Here is an 18,723-nt window from a genome sequence, read left to right as displayed (position 1 = left end):
ACCACGGGGGCCCCTGACCAGCCAGGGGTCGAGCCGTAACCCCATCACCTTCAAATACCTGGTTTTTCCAGCAGACTCCACAGCTCCGCACAGCAAGCTTGACCCTAGGGGAGGAAGGAAAGAGGCCTCACACCATAGGGCCACTAAATATCAGAGTTTGTCTAGGACTGAGGGGATTTCCAGACACAGGACCTACCTTGAAAAACCAGGAAAGCCCCAGACGGACCAGTACAAGCTGGTCACTTGTCACCATAGTCCCACCTTTAAAGAGCTAGAAAATGCATAATGGTCTATTCAAAATATTTTGGCAACAGAGACACACAAGGTCAGGCCAATTCATTTTATATAAGTTGACATTTTTTTAAGACGATGTCTGGGGAAGCAGAAAAGAAAGTTTCTGACCACCCCCTCACCCCGACTCCTGTTCCCAATGGGTCAGCTCACCCACTACAGGCAACAGCCAAATCTCATCTTCAGTTCATTTTAACACCAGCTCCTGCTCCCAGCCAGGCCTGGTGCCAGGCAGACAGCATTCAAAGGTGACCAAATCACAGCCCTTCCCATCCCAAGGAGCCTCCAGGACAGAGGGCAAAGATGAATTGCAACAACATACAGTAAAGGCAGGACTGAGAGACACAGCAGATGGAGGGAAGGTCAGGGAGGGCTTCCTGGAGGAGGAGACAGCTCCTTCACATGAGCTGTAAGGAGGAATTAGCAAAGTGGCAAGCAAGCTAGGGTGGGTGTTCTAGTCCTAGAACAGCATGGGCAAGGCCCAGAGGTGTGGCAGAGTATGGCCCAGTCTAGGGATCGCTAATGTGACTGAAGAACCTGGCAAAATGAGGGGGAGAGAAGGGACAAAGACAGAGGAGTAGATGGGCTACACCCAGGAGACCTTTTAAAGTTTGGACTTGATTTGGGTATTCATAGGGAGCTACTGAAGAACTTTAGGGGAGTCAAGTTTAAGGCTCCCAGGACATTGGGTTTGAGCTAAAAGTCCAACTGCATCAGATGACCAGTGAAAACACCAAGGCCCAGAGAGGGCAGGAAATCACCCAAGGTCACACAGCAGAAGGACTCGGTGGGGAAAAGGCAGACCTTGCCCCCACGCCTTCTGCCTTCAGCAGTATGGTCTAATGAAATGAACCATCTCACCTAACCCTCCCTCCTCACACCTATGCCAGCTCCAGCCCCTGATTTATGAACATGCCTGTTTAACAAACCTCATTTTAAGGTATCCTGCAAGTTTGGATAATCTTCATTTCTTCTCCCTGATAATCTTCTGAATTCCTCTGAGAAGGGTTGAATACGCAAATCACCCAGGTAGTTCAAACAAGGGATAATCTTTCATTTATTTACTTTAATCCTGAATTCTGTTCTCTTCATTTAGAATTTGAGATTTGAGATGAGATAAGAAAAAAGCATTAACTGCCTTGACCCCAAAGGAAGTCTCCCACAGATCTTTATCATTTCAGGACTCTAGGGAATCCAGTGACCTTGCACACAGCCTTCCCAACCCTAAGCCTCCAAAGCTCAGTCCCAGCGGCACCGCTCCCTTCTGCACCCCGTCAAATCCCTGGGCCAGTCCATCTCCACCCAGCCCAACTCCAGGCCCATGAGCAACAGACCTTGGGCTGAGCTTGCAGAAGTAAAAGGAAATAAAATGGCCCCTGTGACAAGGACCTCAGAGTGTCTCCCCATATTGTGGGCGCACATACGGGTGAAGAGTGAGGTAGGCGCAATAGCAAAGACAGGGGCAGATGGCACAGAAGAGAGAGAAGGATCATCTCAGCCTGGGCCATCAAAAGAGGGAAGCTCTGTGGGAGCTGAAGATGATGGACCCGGTGTGAAAGAGAAGCCCACAGCCCTGTAAGCAGAGAGAAGCCCTCTCGCGTCCCAGCCCCAGCGGCTGATGAGGGCCTCTGTGCTCTGGGAGAGTACAGGAACCACATCTGCCTCTGGGGCAGGGAACGGGAGGTGCCTTGCCTGATTTGGGCCAGCGTAATAGCCACCTGATTGAGTTCTCTCACCCACCTCAAAGGAATTCTCTCATGCAGTGGTTTCAAAACCAGGCTGCATTCTAGTTCAAAACCAGGCTGCATTCTAGTTCTGTGTGAGATGGGGCAGACACATTTCTCCGTATTCCTCCCACAAAGCACAACTGAAAACCCCGGGCATTATATATAAGCCAAATATAAGAAGACTCTGGAAGGTGGAAAGAAGAAAGTTGACCAGTTACAAACTTTAAGGAATAATGTGGCAGTGAGTTCCCAAGGTTTTGTTTTAGCCACATATATTCCGGATTGGGTGCTGGAGAAGCTGGTGACCTAGGATCATCAACAGGTACAGTTGAACAAAGCCCTAAGAAAAGCCAGCTCTCAGCTGGGAGCAGTGGCTCACGCCTGTAATCCCAGCACTTTGAGAGGTTGAGGTGGGTGGATCACCTGAGGTCAGGAGCTTGAGACCAGCCTGACCAACATGGTGAAACCCCGTCTCTACTAAAAATACAAAAATTAGCTGGGTGTGGTGGCACGCACCTTGGAGGCCCAGCTACTCGGGAGGCTGAAGTGGAAGGATCACTTGGGCCCAGGAGGCAGAGGTTGCAGTGAGCCAAGATGACACCACTGCACTCCAGCCTGAGCAACAGAGCAAGACTTCGTCTAAAAAAAAAAAAAAAGAAAAAGAAAGAGAGCCAGCTCTCTCTAACTAAAGGACTAGGAAAGGGGCAGCCTAGCAAGGCAGGAAACTTCTAGACAATAATTGCCCTACCCTAGCCAAAGAGGAACAACTATGACCCTACCCCCACCCGCAAAGGCCCAAGGGGGACTGGGGACTTCATCTCCACCTGTAGTAAGCCCCTCATCCCCACTCATGGTGTCACTGGAGTCCGTGTAGGAATCCTGGATTTCTACCCCCACCCTGGCAATAATGAGGCACCCCTCCCTTCCATGCTGGAGTGGTGTCAGAGGAGGCCTAGTACCACCCCCAGCAGTGAGGAGGCCACCCCTACTTTGGGAAGCAGTAAAGAGGCACCCATTTCCCTCCCTTTCAGCAGTGACAAGCCATCCTTCCCTACTCAGGTGTCCACAAAGGCCAGACAGAGAACCTGGGTCCAGCCCTGCCTCACAGCAACAAGGCTGCATCCTCCTTCTCTGCAAGTGCAGGTCAAAGGAGACAGCTAAGACAGATTTAAATAAGATCCAGAATCTATAAAACCCAAAACGCCGGCCGGGGGCGGTGGCTCACAAGTGTAATCCCAGCACTTTGAGAGGCCAAGGCGAGCAGATCACCTGAGGTCGGGAGTTCGAGACCAGCCTGACCAACATGGAGAAACCCCATCTCTACTAAAAATACAAAATTAGCCGGGCATGGTGGCGCATGCTTGTAATCCCAGCTATTCGGGAGGCTGAGGCAGGACAATCACTTGAACCTGGGAGGTGGAGGTTGTGGTGAGCCGAGATCGCGCCATTGCACTCCAGCCTGAGCAACAAGAGCAAAACTCCATCTAAAAAAAAAATGCCTAAGGTTCAAGTGAAAATCATTCATTTTACCAAGAACCAAGAAAATTTCAACTTGAATGAGGACAAGTAATCAAAAGATTCCTACACTGACATGACACAGATGTTGGAATGATCTGACAAAGATTTTAAAGCAGCCACAGTGAAAAAGCTACGATGCTACAATGATGATATAAAAATGCAATTATGAACACATTTGAGATGAAAAAAATAGAAAATCTCAACAAAAAAATAGACTGTCTAAAAAAAAAACCAAAAGGAAATTTTAGAACTGAAAAACATAATAATAAAAATAAAAATCTCTATGGGTAAGGAAAAGTAGAATGTAGAGGACAGAGAAAGATTCAGTGAACTTGAAGACAGAATAGAAATTGTCAAATCTTAACAATGGGGAGAAAATAGACTGAAAAATGATCACCCCAGGACCTGGGGGACTCTGACAAAACATGTAACATTTATGTCACCTGAGTCCATGAGGGAGAGAACAAAGGGGGTGACTTAAAAAAGTATTAAGGAAATAATAGCTGAAGTCTTCATAAATTTGGCAAAAGACAAAAACCTACACATTCAATAAGCTAAGCAAACCCCAAATAGGATAAACCCAAAGAAGCTATGCCATGTATATCATAATCAAACTTGTGAAAACTAAAGACAAATTAAAAATCTTGAAAGCATTGAGAGAGATGACATCTTACTTTAAGAAATAACCAACTCTAATGAAAGCAGATTTCTCCTCAGAACACATGGGTGAGATGGAGTAGCTACAGAGGTAGCCCAGCATGTTTCCAGTACTGAAAGAAAAGAACTGCTGCCCAGAATCCTATACCCAGCAAAAACAGGCTTTCAGGACAGTCAAGAGAATTTGTGTCAGCTGACCTACCCTAAAGGACAGACTAAGGAAAGTTCTTACAACAGAAAAAAAAGGATTAAGGAAGGAAATCTTGGAAATCAGGAAGAAAGAACAACAGAAATAGTAAAAAAACAAAAAAAAAAAAAAAAAAAAATGCGGGGCACAGTAGCTCACGCCTCTAATCCTAGCACTTTGGGAAGCCAAGGCGGGTGGATCACTTGAGGTCAGGAGTTTGAGACCAGCCTGACCAACATGGTGAAACTCCGTCTCTACTGAAAATACAAAAAAAAATTAGCTAGGCATGGTGGCGCACACCTGCAATCCCAGCTACCCAGCAGCTGAGGCAGGAGAATCACTGGAACTCAGGAGGTGGAGGCTGCAGTGAGCAGCCTCCTGCAGCCCAGTCTGGGCAACAGAGCGAGACTCAGTCTCAAAAAAATTAACCAAAAAAGTAAAAAATATAAATACAGAAACTCCTCTTGAGTTTCCTAAATTACATCTGATGACTTAAGCAAAAATTGTATCACCGTCTGATGTGGTTATCAGTGCATGTAGAGGAAACGTTCACGACAATGTCATTCTCAATGGGGGAGGATAAAGGGGCATAAAGGGAGGAAGTTTTCTACATTTCGTCCTAACTGAGGCAGTACACTTGGAAACTTATAGCACTAAGTGCTTACATTAGAAAAGAGGAAAAGAGTCAGATCAATAAACCAAGCTCTAACCTTAAGTAAATAGAAAAAAAAAGAGCAAAATAAACCCCAGCAAGCAAAAGGAAGGAAATACTAAAGGCAGAGAAGAAATCAATAAAATTGAAAACAGAAAACAATAGAGAAAATCAATGAAACAGAAGTCAGTTCTTTGAAAAAAATCAATAAAATTGACAAACTTCTACCAAGACTGACAACAAAAAAAAAAAAGAGAGAGAGAAAAGCTGGAAATCACCAAAATCAGGAATGTAACAGGGGCTACCACTGCAGGGGCTAGAACCTGCAGACGTCAACAGGACAGTAAAGGAATACCATGAACTATTCCACTCCTAAATACACAGCTTAGATGGAACGAACCACTTCCCCAAACACTAGACATTCACTCCGTAGGAAATAGATATAAAAACTCAGTCACACAACTCACTCAATATGAAATGGATAATTTGAATAACTCTGTAACACTTAAAGAAATTGAATTTTTAATTTTAAAACTCCCAAAAAAAGAAATCTCCAAGCCCAGATGGCTTCACTGGAGAATTCTACCAAACACTTCAAGAAGAATTAATGCCAATTCTACACACTCTTTTTCAGAAAACAGAAAAGCAGGGAACATTTCCCAACTCATTCTATCAAACTAGTATTACTCAGATACCAAAATAAGACTAAAAGAGTACAAAGAAAAAAACATATAGTCCAATATTCCTTATGAACATAAACGCAAAAATCCTGAACATAATATTAGCTAATAAAATTCAGCAATACATAAAAATAATTATACATCATGAGCAAGTGGGGCTACTTCCAGGTATGCAAGGCTGGTGCAATATTTGAAAATCAATCAATGTAATGCACCATACTGACAGACTAATGAAGAAAAATCACATGATTTTGTATCGATTGATGCAGAAAAAAGCACTTCTCAAAATTCAATATACATTCAAGATTAAAACTCTCAGGAAAAAAAAAACTGAATAGAGAACTTTCTCAACTTGACATCTACAAAAAAAACAAACAAACAAACAAACAAAACACCCTGTAGCTAATTAACGGTGAAAGACAATACTTTTCCCCTAAGATTGGAGCAAGGCAATGATGATCACTCACCACTGCTAGTCAATGTTATATTGGAAGTTCCAGCCAATGCAGCAAGGCAAGAAAAAAAGAAAAGGAAAGGGAAGGGAAGGGGAAGGAAATCAGAAGGGAAGAAATAAAACTATTTGCAGATGGCATAATGGTCGATGTAGAGAAGCTTAAAGAATCTACAAAACAACTCCTAGAACTAGTAAGTGATTCTAGCAAGTTTGCTGGATACAGGATCAACATAAAAAATCAACTGTAGGGCTGGGCACGGTGACTCATGCCTGTAATCCCAGCCCTTTGGGAGGCTGAGGCAGGTGGATCATGAGATCAGGTGTTCGAGACCAGCCTGGCCAACATAGTGAAACCCCATCTGTACTAAAAATACAAAAAAATAGCCGGGCATGGTGGCAGGCACCTGTAATCCCAGCTACTCGGGAGGCTGAGGCAGGAGAATTGCTTGAACCCAGGAGGCAGAGGTTGCAGTGAGCCAAGATTGTGCCACTGCACTCCAGCCTGGGCAACAGAGCGAGACTCCATCTCAAAAAAAAAAGAATCAACTGTATTTTTATATACTAGCAACAAATACGTGGAAATCAAAACTAAAAATACAATATTATCTACAACTCTGCAGAAAGTAATGATGATGATGAAATACATGTAAATCTAATAAAACATATACTTAGCTTCTAGCCAAAAACTACAACATGCTGATGAAAGAAATCAAACTCCAAATAAATGAAGAGACATACAGTGTTCATGGATTGAAAGATTCGATTTAGTAAAGATACAAATTCTCCCTAAAAGGACCTATAAGTTTAACGCAACTATCAAAATTCCGGCAAGAAATGTTGAAGACATAGACAAAATTATTCCAAAATGTATATGGAAAGGCAAAGAAACTAGGATAACTAAAACAATTTTGAAAAGAATAAAATGGGAAGAATCACTCTACCCAATTTTAAGACTTATATAGCTACAGGAATCAAGACCATGTGGTATGGGCAGAGGGACAGACCCATAAATAGTGGAACAGAATCAAGAGATCAGAAATAGACCCACACACGTATGGCCAACAGATTCTGGACAAAGGTGCAAAAGCAACAGAGGAAAGATGGTCTTTTCAAGGAATGGTGCTGGAGTAATTACATACCCACAGGCAAAAAAAAAAAAAAAAAAAAGAGACCTTGACCTAAACCTCGCAGCTTGTACAAAAATGAACTCAAAATGAATTTAAGTGCAAAACATAAAACTTCAAAACTTTCAGGCTGGGCGTGGTGGCTCATGCCTATAATCCCAGCATTTTGGGAGGCCGAGGTGGGTGGATCGCTTGAGGTCAGGAGTTAGAGATCAGCATGGCCAACATGGTGAAACCCTGTCTCTACCAAAAATACAAAAATTAGCCAGGTGTGGTGGCGGGCACCTGTAATCCCAGCTACTCAGGAGACTGAGGCAGGAGAATCGCTTGAACCCAGGAGGCACTGGTTGCAGTGAGCCGAGATAGCGCCACTGTACTCCAGCCAGGGTGACAGAGCAAGACTCAGTCTCAAAAAAAAAAAAAGGCAAAAAACAAAACTATAAAACTTCTAGAAGAAAACATAGAAGATCATCTTCAGCACCTCAGGCTTGGTGAACATTCCTTGGACGTGACACTAAAGGTAAGATCTATAAAAGATAAATATCAATTAATTGTACTACATTGAAATTTAAAACTTTCACTCTGTGAGCAACCCTGCTAAGAGGATGAAAGACAAGTAGGCTGGGAGAAAATATTTGCAAACCACATAGCTGATAAATGACTTGTTTCTCTAATATGTAAAGAATGTTCTTCATATATAATTTACAAAACGTATGAAAGTTTTTAAAATTTATACATTTATAAATAATTTATCAAACTTCATATATATATATACATATATATATATATACTTCTAAAACTCAACAGAAAAATAACAAATAATCCGATTGGAACGTGGGCAAAAAGCACCAAGAGACGTTTCACAGAGGATACCCAGATGCCTAATAAGCACATGAAAAGATGTTCAGCATCGCTAAGCACTGGGGAAGCGCAGATCGGAGCCACAGGGACGCTTCAGCACTGCCTCCCAGGTCCCCTCCCTCCCACAGAGGCCTGTCTGGATCTGCAGCTGCTCACTCCCTGACAGCTACCAGAGGAAGAGAATGAAAAGCCCTTTGTGATTATCGTCATGCTAAGTCCCCTCTCCCTGGGCAGGAACAGACCAAGAGGGGACAGGGAAGCTGTCTGAAGCCCCTGCTCAGGTCGTCAAGGCCTTTAAACACTTTTACTGGGAATGCGGGGTTGAGAGTGTCCACAGCTCCCCAGTCCTGGATGGCAAACAAGGGTGACTTCATGGACACAGGGCCTCCCAAGTTCTCCTCTCTTTTTTGCCACGACTGTTTGTTAAGCAAATTAACAACCTGGCCCCAGTGAAACCCCAGTGAGTTTCAATGTTTAACATGCAGACATAAGACTGCTTGGAAGGGAATGCTGTCAAACAACCTACCCAAGAGAGAAATGGGCCAGAACTTAGCTAGATGAGCAAACCTCTAGAAAGTTAGCAGGCTGTCCCACAGGAAATGGGAGCAGGGGAGGGTATGGGAGGGGACAGCCCCAGAGCCTGCCCTATCGGCAATTTCAATCCTACCTACTGGAGGTGGCAGGGGCACATGGACGGAGACACCTGAGCCCAGATCCTGGCAGACCTTTAATTGCTATGTGACCCAGTGATCCTTCTTCCTTCCTGTAAAACGGCTCATTGCTCACCATGCTTGAGCATTCAGCCCAACCCAGGAAACTAGCTAGAGCCAGTTATTCACAGGCAGTAATAACTTCCTGGAATAATAATTCCGCATTCTTTCATTCAACAGCATGCATGAGGAACGAGGCACCCTCTCTGTCTGGTATTTTAATCCCATGGTTTTAGAGATGAGAATACTGAGGCCAGAAAGCACAGCCCACTTGCTCAAGTCCCAGGGCTGGAGAAAGGCAGGGCTGGGAACCGGATCCTCTGCCGCCCAAGGCCTGTCCAGCAGCCTGGGCCCTGGGAGAAACACGTGGGGATGGATGGACGAGTCAGGAACCACCCCCTCGCAGGGTGCCCGCAGATGCCCCAGCACCTTTGGCTCGACAACTCCAACGTGCACAGGGACCCAGTTTTAGAATATTCAGAAGGCGAAAATGCACACTTTCCAACCAAAACCTTCAACAAGATCATCATTATCAGTTTATATAAAACTTTTATAAAATTCTGCTTTCAAAATTCTTTTTGTAACAAAGATGCTCTTCTACGGCGCTTAAAGTGGAAGCCAATGTCTGACATTTTTATTTACATCCCAGCCTCGCCGACAGTGTATGAACCAAAGCTGGACTCCCTAGAAGGAGGGGACTCTGGCGTGTGGGGCTCACAGGAGGGGTGAGGCTCAGAGGATGCACTGGTGCTCACCCTACAGCTGACGCCTCACTGCAGTCAGACCCCACAGCAGCTTCCTCTGGGGCCTGTCGCCCGGAGGTTGGGCCACTTTAGCCACACCTGACTCCTGGCAAACAGAGGAGAGGATTGTTTGTTTGCTTGACTTTTTTTTTTTTTTTTTTGAGATGGAGTTTTGCTCTTGTCACCCAGGCTAGAGTGCAGTGGTGCGATCTTGGCTCACTGCAGCCTCCGCCTCCTGGGTTCAAGCAATTCTCTTGCCTTAGCCTCCTGAGCAGCTGGGATTACAGGTGCCTGCCACCACACCTGGCTAATTTTTTTTTTTTTGTATTTTTGTATTTTGTATTTTTAGTACAAAGGAGGCTGGTCTCAAACTCCTGACCTCAGGTGATCCGCCCGCCTCAGCCTCCCAAAGTGCTGGGATTACAGGCATGAGCCACTGCACCCGGCCTGTTTCCTTGACTTAATGAAAACATACCCAATACCCCTTAGGTACACCTGTGACTGAAGTAAAGCAGCTTAGAAACCTCCTTCCCGACAGAAAAGGGTGGAAACCCTCAAGTTGACACCAGGCTCTGGAGAAAAACCTGCCACGGAGCCAGTGTTATCTCACTCCTTTGTTGAAGGCATTGTTCAAATAAACTTCTCAAATTAAGTCAGGTTATTTTACAGTCTTTTACATTTTTTAATACTGTAAGCTGGTCCCAAAAAGACTCTTTCTTGTGCATGATCTTACTTGACTCCAGCAACAAGCCTGCAGGTACAATGAAACCTCTCTGATGGAAGAGAGCCCTGGGGCTCAGAGAGGCAAAAGGATAGGTCCGAGATCTTGCAGCTAAGCAGCAGCCTTAGCGCCCAGTCCCTGCCCTCATGCCTGGTGCTGGCCCGTGTTGCCAGACCTGCTTGCACACAATTCCTTAGCAGCCCAATCTCAGCACCAGCTGATTTCTTGCCAAGTCAGCAAATGGCTAACCACCATTCCAGTTCCATCATCACAGGTAATGAAGCTCTGACTGCCACGGACAGAACAAAAATTAAAACCAAACTAAACGTTGGGTTTCAGGCTCCCAAATACTTCTGGATTGCAAAGGGCAAAAAAAAAAGAATCATTTACTTGGTCTCATCTTCCCTTCCAATGAGCCTCAACAGCACGCTGGCAGCTTCCCTTTTTACTGAAGTGGATTTCTTATTAATCAGCACATCTCCATGGCTCTGAGCTGTCCTCATACCATTGTCCCAACTTACAATGGTTTGATTTATGGTTTTTCAACTTTGCAAGGGTGTGAAAGCGATACACGTTCAGTAGAAAGTGGTAGGACAGTCTCTTGCCATGCTAGGCAGAAGCAGTGAGCCGCAGCTCCCAGTCAGCCCCACTATCCTGAGGGTAAACGGTGTCCATGTTGCCAGGCAATTTTGCTAATGCAAGTGTTCCGAGCATGTTTAAGGTAGGCTCAGCTAAGCTATGATGCTGGGTAGGTTAGTGTATTAAATGTGTTTTCAACTTATGATGGGCTTACCAGGACATATGCCCAATGTAAGCTGAGGAGCGTCTACACCAAGCATGAGACGATGTCACCACAGGCACAGTGGACTCCCACCAGCAAACCTGGAAAGGGGCAAGGCCAAATTTTTTGAGGTCCCTGCCAAATCTAAGAACAAAAAAAGGCAACCAGTGGAAGTCTAGAAGTACAGAGAGGTAGGTGGTCTAACCAAAATCGCTTCTCTCTTACTGCTCCCGTCCAGGGGCGAAAAGAGAATGAACTTGGGATTACTTCCGAGGCAAATGAGAAAAAAGCTGGGATCCCATGCTCCCAAGAGCTGGGGCTCATCCACACATTGGAAGAATACTTGACACACATTTACAGAAAGGAATTGGATTAAGTTAGAAATATGGGAACAAAGTTATGCCCAGGGAAGCCTCGAAGAGGACAGCAGTGAGAGAAGGTGCAGGTGAGGACAGGCCCGTGCTGAGTGGGAGTGTGTCTTAAGTGTATTGGTCCATTTTCATGCTGCTGCTAAAGACACGCCCGAGACTGGGTAATTTATAAGGAAAAGCAGGTTTAATGGACTCAAGGTTCCACATGGCTGGGGAGGCCTCACAATCATGGCAGAAGGTGAAAGGCACCTCTCACATGGTGATAGACAAAAGAAGAAAACCAACCAAAAGAGAAAACTCTTTTTTTTTTTTTCTGAGATGGGGTCTCGCTCTGTTGCCCGGGCTGGACTGTAATGGTGTGATCTCGGCTCACTGTAGCCTCTGCCTCCCAGGTTCAGGCAATTCTCCCACCTTAACCTCCTAGTAGCTGAGATTACAGGGGTGCACCACCACGCCCAGCTAATTTTTATATTTTAGTAGAGATGGGGTTTCACCATGTTGACCAGGCTGGTCTCGAACTCCTGACCTCAGGTGATCCACCTGCTTCAGCCTCCCAAAGTGCTGGGATTACAGGTGTGAGCCACTGCGCCTGGGCTGGGGAAACCTCTTACAAAACTATTAGATCTCGTGAGACTCATGAGACTCATTCACTACCATAAGAAGAGTAAGGGGGAAACCGCCCCCCGGCCATGATCCAATCATCTCCCACCAGGTCCCTCCCACAACATATGAGAATTATGGCAGCTACAATTCAAGATGAGGTTTGGGTGGGGACACAGCCAAACCATATCATTAGGTCAGCCCTGAAAAGGGCTACAGGGGAGCCTGGGGGAAAGTCCATCCACAAGCACAGGACACCCACTAGGACACCTATCTCTTCCTCCTGGCTTCTAGGTACAGATAAAATATTTTTCTCTGAGAATTTGAAACATAAACCTGAGATTCATGTATTTGGAATTTTAAAAGTCACATTACTCTCATGCTCCACAAACCACCAATCTAAGAAATTAACATTAAAAACTAAGTTATAGGCCAGTGAAATCCCTGGAGTACCTGACAAAGACCAAAACTAAACCTAGAGGGACATGATCTCAACTAAGTCTGTAAGAGATTCTCAGTGACACAGCCACTGTGACGATGAGCTCGCAATGAAAAATTACAAACGCACAGCAAAAAATCACAAACATGAGTGAGAGTCAGCAAATACCATAAACAGGAAAGTGTTACCCAAGAGATACAGACTGTAGAATAATCTGAGAGTGACTATGAAATAAATATGTTTAAAAGACATAAAACAATTTACATCCCACCCCAAAAAAGCTATTTTTAAAAAGGATGGATCTGTTTGAAAAAATATGCAAATAGAATTTCTACAAGTAAGAAGCAAAGGCACTGAAACTGGAAACTCAATAAGATGGCTTAAACAATAGATTAAAAACAGTTGAAGGGAGAATTTGTAGAGTTAGATTTGAAGAAATTAAACCAGAAGAAGCAAAAAGAAATAAAGAGAAACTATGACAGAGAGTCTAGAGAGGTTAAGAGACATGTGAATCGAATAAGAAAATTTAATAAGTTGGTAAGAACTCCAGAAAGAGAAAATAAGGAGAATGGAAAAAACTCAATATTTGAAGAAATGATAGCTGAGAATACTCCAGAATGATAATAATCTACATATTCATGAGTCACAGACTCCCAAGCAGGATAAGCAAAAATGAACTCATTATAGACACGTCAAATAGTACTGAAGAAGCAAATACAAAGCTATGATCTTAAAAGCGACCAGGGCACAACCAAGCAGTGTGGCCAAAGTACCAAGAGAAAACATCTGTCACTTTACAATGAATTGTGAGAGTTTACCACTCATAGACCCTCACCAAAGAACACTGAAGAAGGAACTTTAAGAAGAAAACTGAACCCAGGAGAAGTTAATAGGCACCAGAAACAACAGGAAACAAAGAAATCAGGAAAAAATCCCAAAATCTATTCAAGCATTGATTGAATAAATAATACATTGATTATGTAAATCGGTATAATAATACTGAATCGGGAGTATACAAAAACTGAAACTAAAATACTGGCTGTCAATAACACGTAACACGGGCGGGGTGATCAGGGCTCCGTGCTGCTCAGAAGGATTTTAAATTTGGGCAGCTGGCCTCCGGCCCACACTCTCAGCCCCGTGCTGGGATGTGCACTTCCCTCACACGTTCCCTTCCCTGCTGTGAGTTCCAGTTTAAGTTTAAGGTACTAAAAGGCAACATGTCTACCTGGAAAAGGTTTATGAAGAGCTAGCTGCTCAGATCAACAAGCCAGCACCAGTGCATTCTAACTACAGACTATTCCAACTATCTCATGGTACTAGAGTGTATTGCACATGTCACCATGTATACCGGGCCTATTCGACATTATCTCATTTAATTTTACAGTAAACCTGCAAATTGGGTTGCATGATGACTCAGATAAGACCGATAACTTGCCCAAGGTCACGCAGCCAGCAGAGACGGGCCCCGGCTGGTTCCAGGAGGCCATGCTGCCTCCCTCATGGTATCAGTTCTCTCCCCACAGACCTAGCCTTGTAAAACATCCACGCTTGTCAAAAGGGGTTCTTGCCTTTGCCTATTGCTGATTGGGCGTGGAGACTGCACGGGGAGCCTCTGCGGATCTCCTTTCCAAGATAAACTGCATTCAGCACATATTAGGGACCTCGAGGGGTGGCAGGCACAGAGAAGACCAGGTTAGATAAATAGGGGCTGACACATGGACCTTCAAACCCTGAAGGGAGGAGTCTGGGGAGGCCTCAAAGGGAGGGAGCAACCGTACTAAGCTCCCACCCTGAGCAAAGATGGTTGAACCTCATGCACTGCTAGGCACAGAGAGAAAACGTCAGGAATGTCATCAATTCCCAATTCACTGGGAGTGACAGTCGGCCTGGGAAGCTCCTCCCTCACCCATTGTTGGAGTCCAATTTTTAAAGCTTGGGGCCCTTTAAGATGGCGTATCTCCATGGAAAGTGACTGCTCTGTGAGTTCCTTGAGGACTCCAGCATGGCTGACCCCTCTCCACGCCTCCAGGGTGGTGTCTGGCATGGGCCTGGACTGGAAGTGCAGCAAAGGCTGGCTGAATGCACAAGTGACTCAGGGTGGGCTCCCACACAGTCGAGAAGGGGGCTTCAGCAGCCCCTGGGCGAGCACCTGTGAGAGCGCCAGAGAATGCCCGAGGGCCCAGCCAGGGCCCACTCAGAGCCCAGCAGACTTGATTCAGTGGGCAGAGCACCCTCAGGGGTCCTCCGCCACACGGAAAAGGGCAAACTGCCCCCAACAAGTGATTTCCCCATGGACCCTTCTTACTTTTTATTTAATTTCATAGTCTAGGAAAGAAAATACTATGCATTTGTTTCTTATTAATTTACACTCAAATCATTAAAAACATGTTTTTGCAAGAATTTTTAACATCCACAAGGCTCTTTTTTTAACCTCTTATAAGTCATTTTAGTACTCTTTTTCTCAAGGAAGAGGAAAATGTATTTTTGCCAAGAATAAGCTCCTTGCTTCAATTTTGATTCAGCGTTTAGTCCCAGGCTCATAAACTCCAGCAGGGCTTGGGCCAACTGAGAAATGAAATTCTCCCCCAGCCGTGAGTCTCCAAATAATAACCCAAGATTGTAACCAGCATGATTTTCCCACACACGCAAAGCCAAACAAAACTGGGAAATGAAGATGGGATATGCTCCACTAGTTTGGCTTCTGCTCATATCCAGTGGGCCCCCAACAGAGTCCCCTAGGGAGTCCACAAGCATTCCGAGCCCCAGACGAGAGGTTTTCAGCCAGGGTACCTCAGCACCCTGGCTCCACGAGACTGCGCAGCCATAGACGATGCACATGGTCAGGCCGAGCTGGGCCTGGGGACCCCCCGGGCCACTGCATGCTGTGGATGGCAGGCAGCACAGCCAAGCCGGCACTAAAGGAAGGCTGTGCATGTGTGGGGATGCGAGAGAATTCTGCTCTTTGCATATGCACGGGAGCACAGGCAGAGCAGGAGACCAGTCACCCAGATGGGGCCAGCCCCAAAGGACAAGCAGAGGGTGATGGAGAAGTTTGGGTGATTTTGTAGATACGATTAGCATCATAATGCTGCAGTGATGACTGAGCTGACGCCATCCCTGCTGTGTGCACGCTTAGTGCTGTGGACTGAATATTAGCATCCCCCCACCCCTGCCAAATTTACATGTTGAAGCCCCTAATCCCCAATGTGATGGTATTTGGAGATGAGGCCTTTGAAGGAAATGAGGGTTAGATGGGGTCATACGGGTATGGCCCTCATGATGGGAATAGTGTCCTTATGAGAAGAGATGCCATATGAGCACACAGCGAGAAAGCAGTTGTCTGCAAGCCAGGAAGAGAGTCCTCACCAAACCCACCCCTGCTGGCACACTGATTTCAAACTTCCCAGCCTCCAGAAGTGTGAGAAAATAAATGTCTGTTGTTGAAGCCATTCTGACTATGGTATTTTGTGATGGCAGCCCAAGCCGACTAAGACACCTAGTCAGAGTTTTAATCCCTGCAAGGACACCTCAGAGTCCTAGAGTTTGCAAACATGCCGTCAAGACTGGAGAAGGAGAACTACTACTAGCTGGGCTGGCAGGACGCGGCAGCGTGGACAGGTGGGAGTGAGTCCCGTCCACAGCACATTTGGATCTGTTTATCTTCCTGTCTCTGTTCTGGTTCATCCCACTCCACCCCGTGAGGACGCCCTCCTCCTAGGCTCCCCAGCACTCAAGGCTCCTGTCCTTCAGTCACCTAAGTCTCTTTTCAGCATGGTAGAGGGCTTCCCCGGACTGCACCTGGCAGGTTGGCTGAGAACTTCCTCTGAAGCCCGACAGTGCAGAAGCCTGGACCCACCCCTGAAGGCTGATTTTATAGCTCTGGAATCTGAATTTAGGGCAAGGGCCACAGATGTTTCTGGTAAGAAACTGCTGATGCAGCAGAAGCTCTAAAGCCTTTACAAGCACACAAACCTGACTTTGAGGCCCAGCCCTGCCACTTTTGAGCTGTGTGACCACAGGTAGTTTACTCAGCCTTGCTAAGCCTCAGTTTTCTTACACTCACATTACACTGGAAAAAACGGAATCCTGGATTCATTTTTCTTATTGCTGGAATTAACCCTCTATTAATTCTTTCAGAGAGGCATGTGTGATTGATTTCCTGGGTCTTTCTATGTCCTAAATTGCCCTTACAGTGCTATCATACAAAATCGATTTTGAGTATGAAGTTCAATACTCAGAGACGTTATTGTATCCCTGCACTTTGAAGGCCTTGCCCCATTCCCTATAGCAATTTTCTTAATGAGAGACTGATGTCATCTGATTCTCATGTTTTTGTGGTAAAGTTCCTTTTTTTCTGTTTTTAGTTTGGGTTTTGTTTTTTCTGGGAGTCCTTTATCACTCATGTTCTGAAATTTCAATATAGGTGACCAGCTATGTCACTTTTTTGGTTGCTCATCTGTTTTTGTCTTGCTTGACATTTTCTCCTCCTTTTCAACCTGAGGATTTGGGCTTTTTTGTTTGTTATGTAATATTCTTATATATTTTTATTTAAATAGTGTCTACCCTCCTTTGTTCTGTTCTTTCCCTCTGGCACATCCACGTAGAGGAATGCTTGAGTTTCAGAAGGTATCTCCATGTCTCAACTTTGTTTTTTCATTTTCCATCTCATTATCCCTTTAGGAAAAACTCACTCCCAGAGAAATAAAGTAATAAAGAAATTAGACCTTTAAAAGTAGGAATAATTATTATTCCCTGAGAGACAAAGAAAATGTTGCATCCATGAAATAAGAATAAGAGGTTATGAAAAAGAATGAATTAATAGAGCTTGGCAATGAGAAATTCAGCACATCGCTGGATGATAGGATAGGTGGCGCTGAAGAGTGCCCTGTCATTAGAAGGTTGCGCTGAGAAACTGTGCTGGAGCCTGGCTACTCAGAGTGTGGGCCACAGACCCACACTCTGCATCAGCACCACCCACACGCTTGTGAGCAATGCAGTCTCAGGATCACAACCAGCATTGAAGACCCAGGCAACATGCATATATTGCAATTTAAGAAGCACTGGACTAATTTTTGTGTTTCTGTAGAGATGGGGTTTCACCATGTTGGCCAGGCTGGTATCGAACTTCTGACCTCAGGTGATCTGCCCGCCTCAGCCTCCCAAAGTGCTGGGATTACAGGCGTGAGCCACCACGCCCTGCCTCGGTGATTCTTAATTCCAGCAATCTTGGTAGTGGAGGTCCAATCACTCGGTCTGCTTCAGTGTGAGAGGCCTGCCTGGGGGCAGATGTGGGAGCTTTGCAGTGAACAGGGAGGAGCAGGAAGTACCATCGGTGGGGACACTTCTACAGCTCCTTTTCTAAATTTGGGCAGCCCTCTTTCTTATGGGTTCATTGTGTCCCCCTAAAATGCATATGTTGAAGTACTAACCCCCAGGTCTGCAGAATGTGACTTTGTTTAGAAATAGAGTTGTTACAGATAGAATTAGTTAAGTTAAAATGAGGTCATGCTGGCTGGGCACGGTGGCTCACACCTGTAATCCCAGCACTTTGGGAGGCCGAGGTGGGTGGATCATGAGGTCAAGAGATCAAGACCATCCTGGCCAACATGGTGAAACCCCGTCTGTACTAAAAATACAAAAATTAGCCGGGCGTGGTGGCACACGCCTGTAGTCCCAGCTACTCAGGAGGCTGAGGCAGGAGAATCGCTTGAACCCAGGAGGCAGAGGTTGCAGTGAGCCAAGATCGCACCACTGCACTCCAGCCTGGCGACAGAGCAAGACTCCTGTCTCAAAAAAATGAGGTCGTGCTGGGGTATGTAGGGGCCCTGATCCAATCTCACTAGTATCCTTAGACAACAGACAGGAAAATTCCGAACCAGATGCACACACAGAGGGAACACCCTGTGAAGATGAAGGCAGACTGGAGTGAGGCAAGCCAAGGAATGCCGAAGATGGCCAGCAAACCACCAGAAGCCAGCAGAGGAGCACGGTAGATTCTTGCTCACAGCCTCAGAAGGAACCAGCCTCACCTACACCTTCATCGCAGACTCCCAGCCTCCAGAACCCTAAGGAAATGCATTTCTGCGCTTTCAGCCACCCAGCCTGTGGCGCTTTGTTACAGCAGCCCAACCTAAGACACCGTTCCACCTAGCCCCCATCATGCCCTTGGGCACCGTCCTGTCCCTAAGGCGAGATCCCTGTTCC

The 18,723-nt window shown here is 45.5% G+C and overlaps 1 long non-coding RNA gene across 1 annotated transcript in view, besides 1 other annotated feature; it reads right to left on the bottom strand.

The window, feature by feature from the left end:
• The window catches only part of LOC105373611 (uncharacterized), a 241,632-nt gene extending 239,187 nt beyond the window's left edge, over positions 1-2,445 (bottom strand). The window contains exon 1 of the long non-coding RNA XR_923318.2: positions 59-2,445. This is a non-coding gene — a long non-coding RNA (uncharacterized LOC105373611). The remainder of the gene's footprint in view (positions 1-58) is intronic.
• Positions 15,386-16,043: an enhancer, noted in NCBI's record as "H3K4me1 hESC enhancer chr2:129146579-129147236 (GRCh37/hg19 assembly coordinates)". NCBI's record gives its function as "activates a minimal SCP1, AML or CMV promoter by ChIP-STARR-seq in naive H9 embryonic stem cells {active_cell/tissue: H9 hESC(naive)}" and the evidence as "EXISTENCE:reporter gene assay evidence [ECO:0000049][PMID:30033119]".

Source organism: Homo sapiens, chromosome 2 (assembly GCF_000001405.40).
Source record: "Homo sapiens chromosome 2, GRCh38.p14 Primary Assembly".
Lineage (NCBI taxonomy): Eukaryota > Metazoa > Chordata > Mammalia > Primates > Hominidae > Homo > Homo sapiens.
The sequence above is the reverse complement of the archived record's forward strand: the minus strand, read 5'-3'. Positions and strand labels throughout refer to the sequence as shown.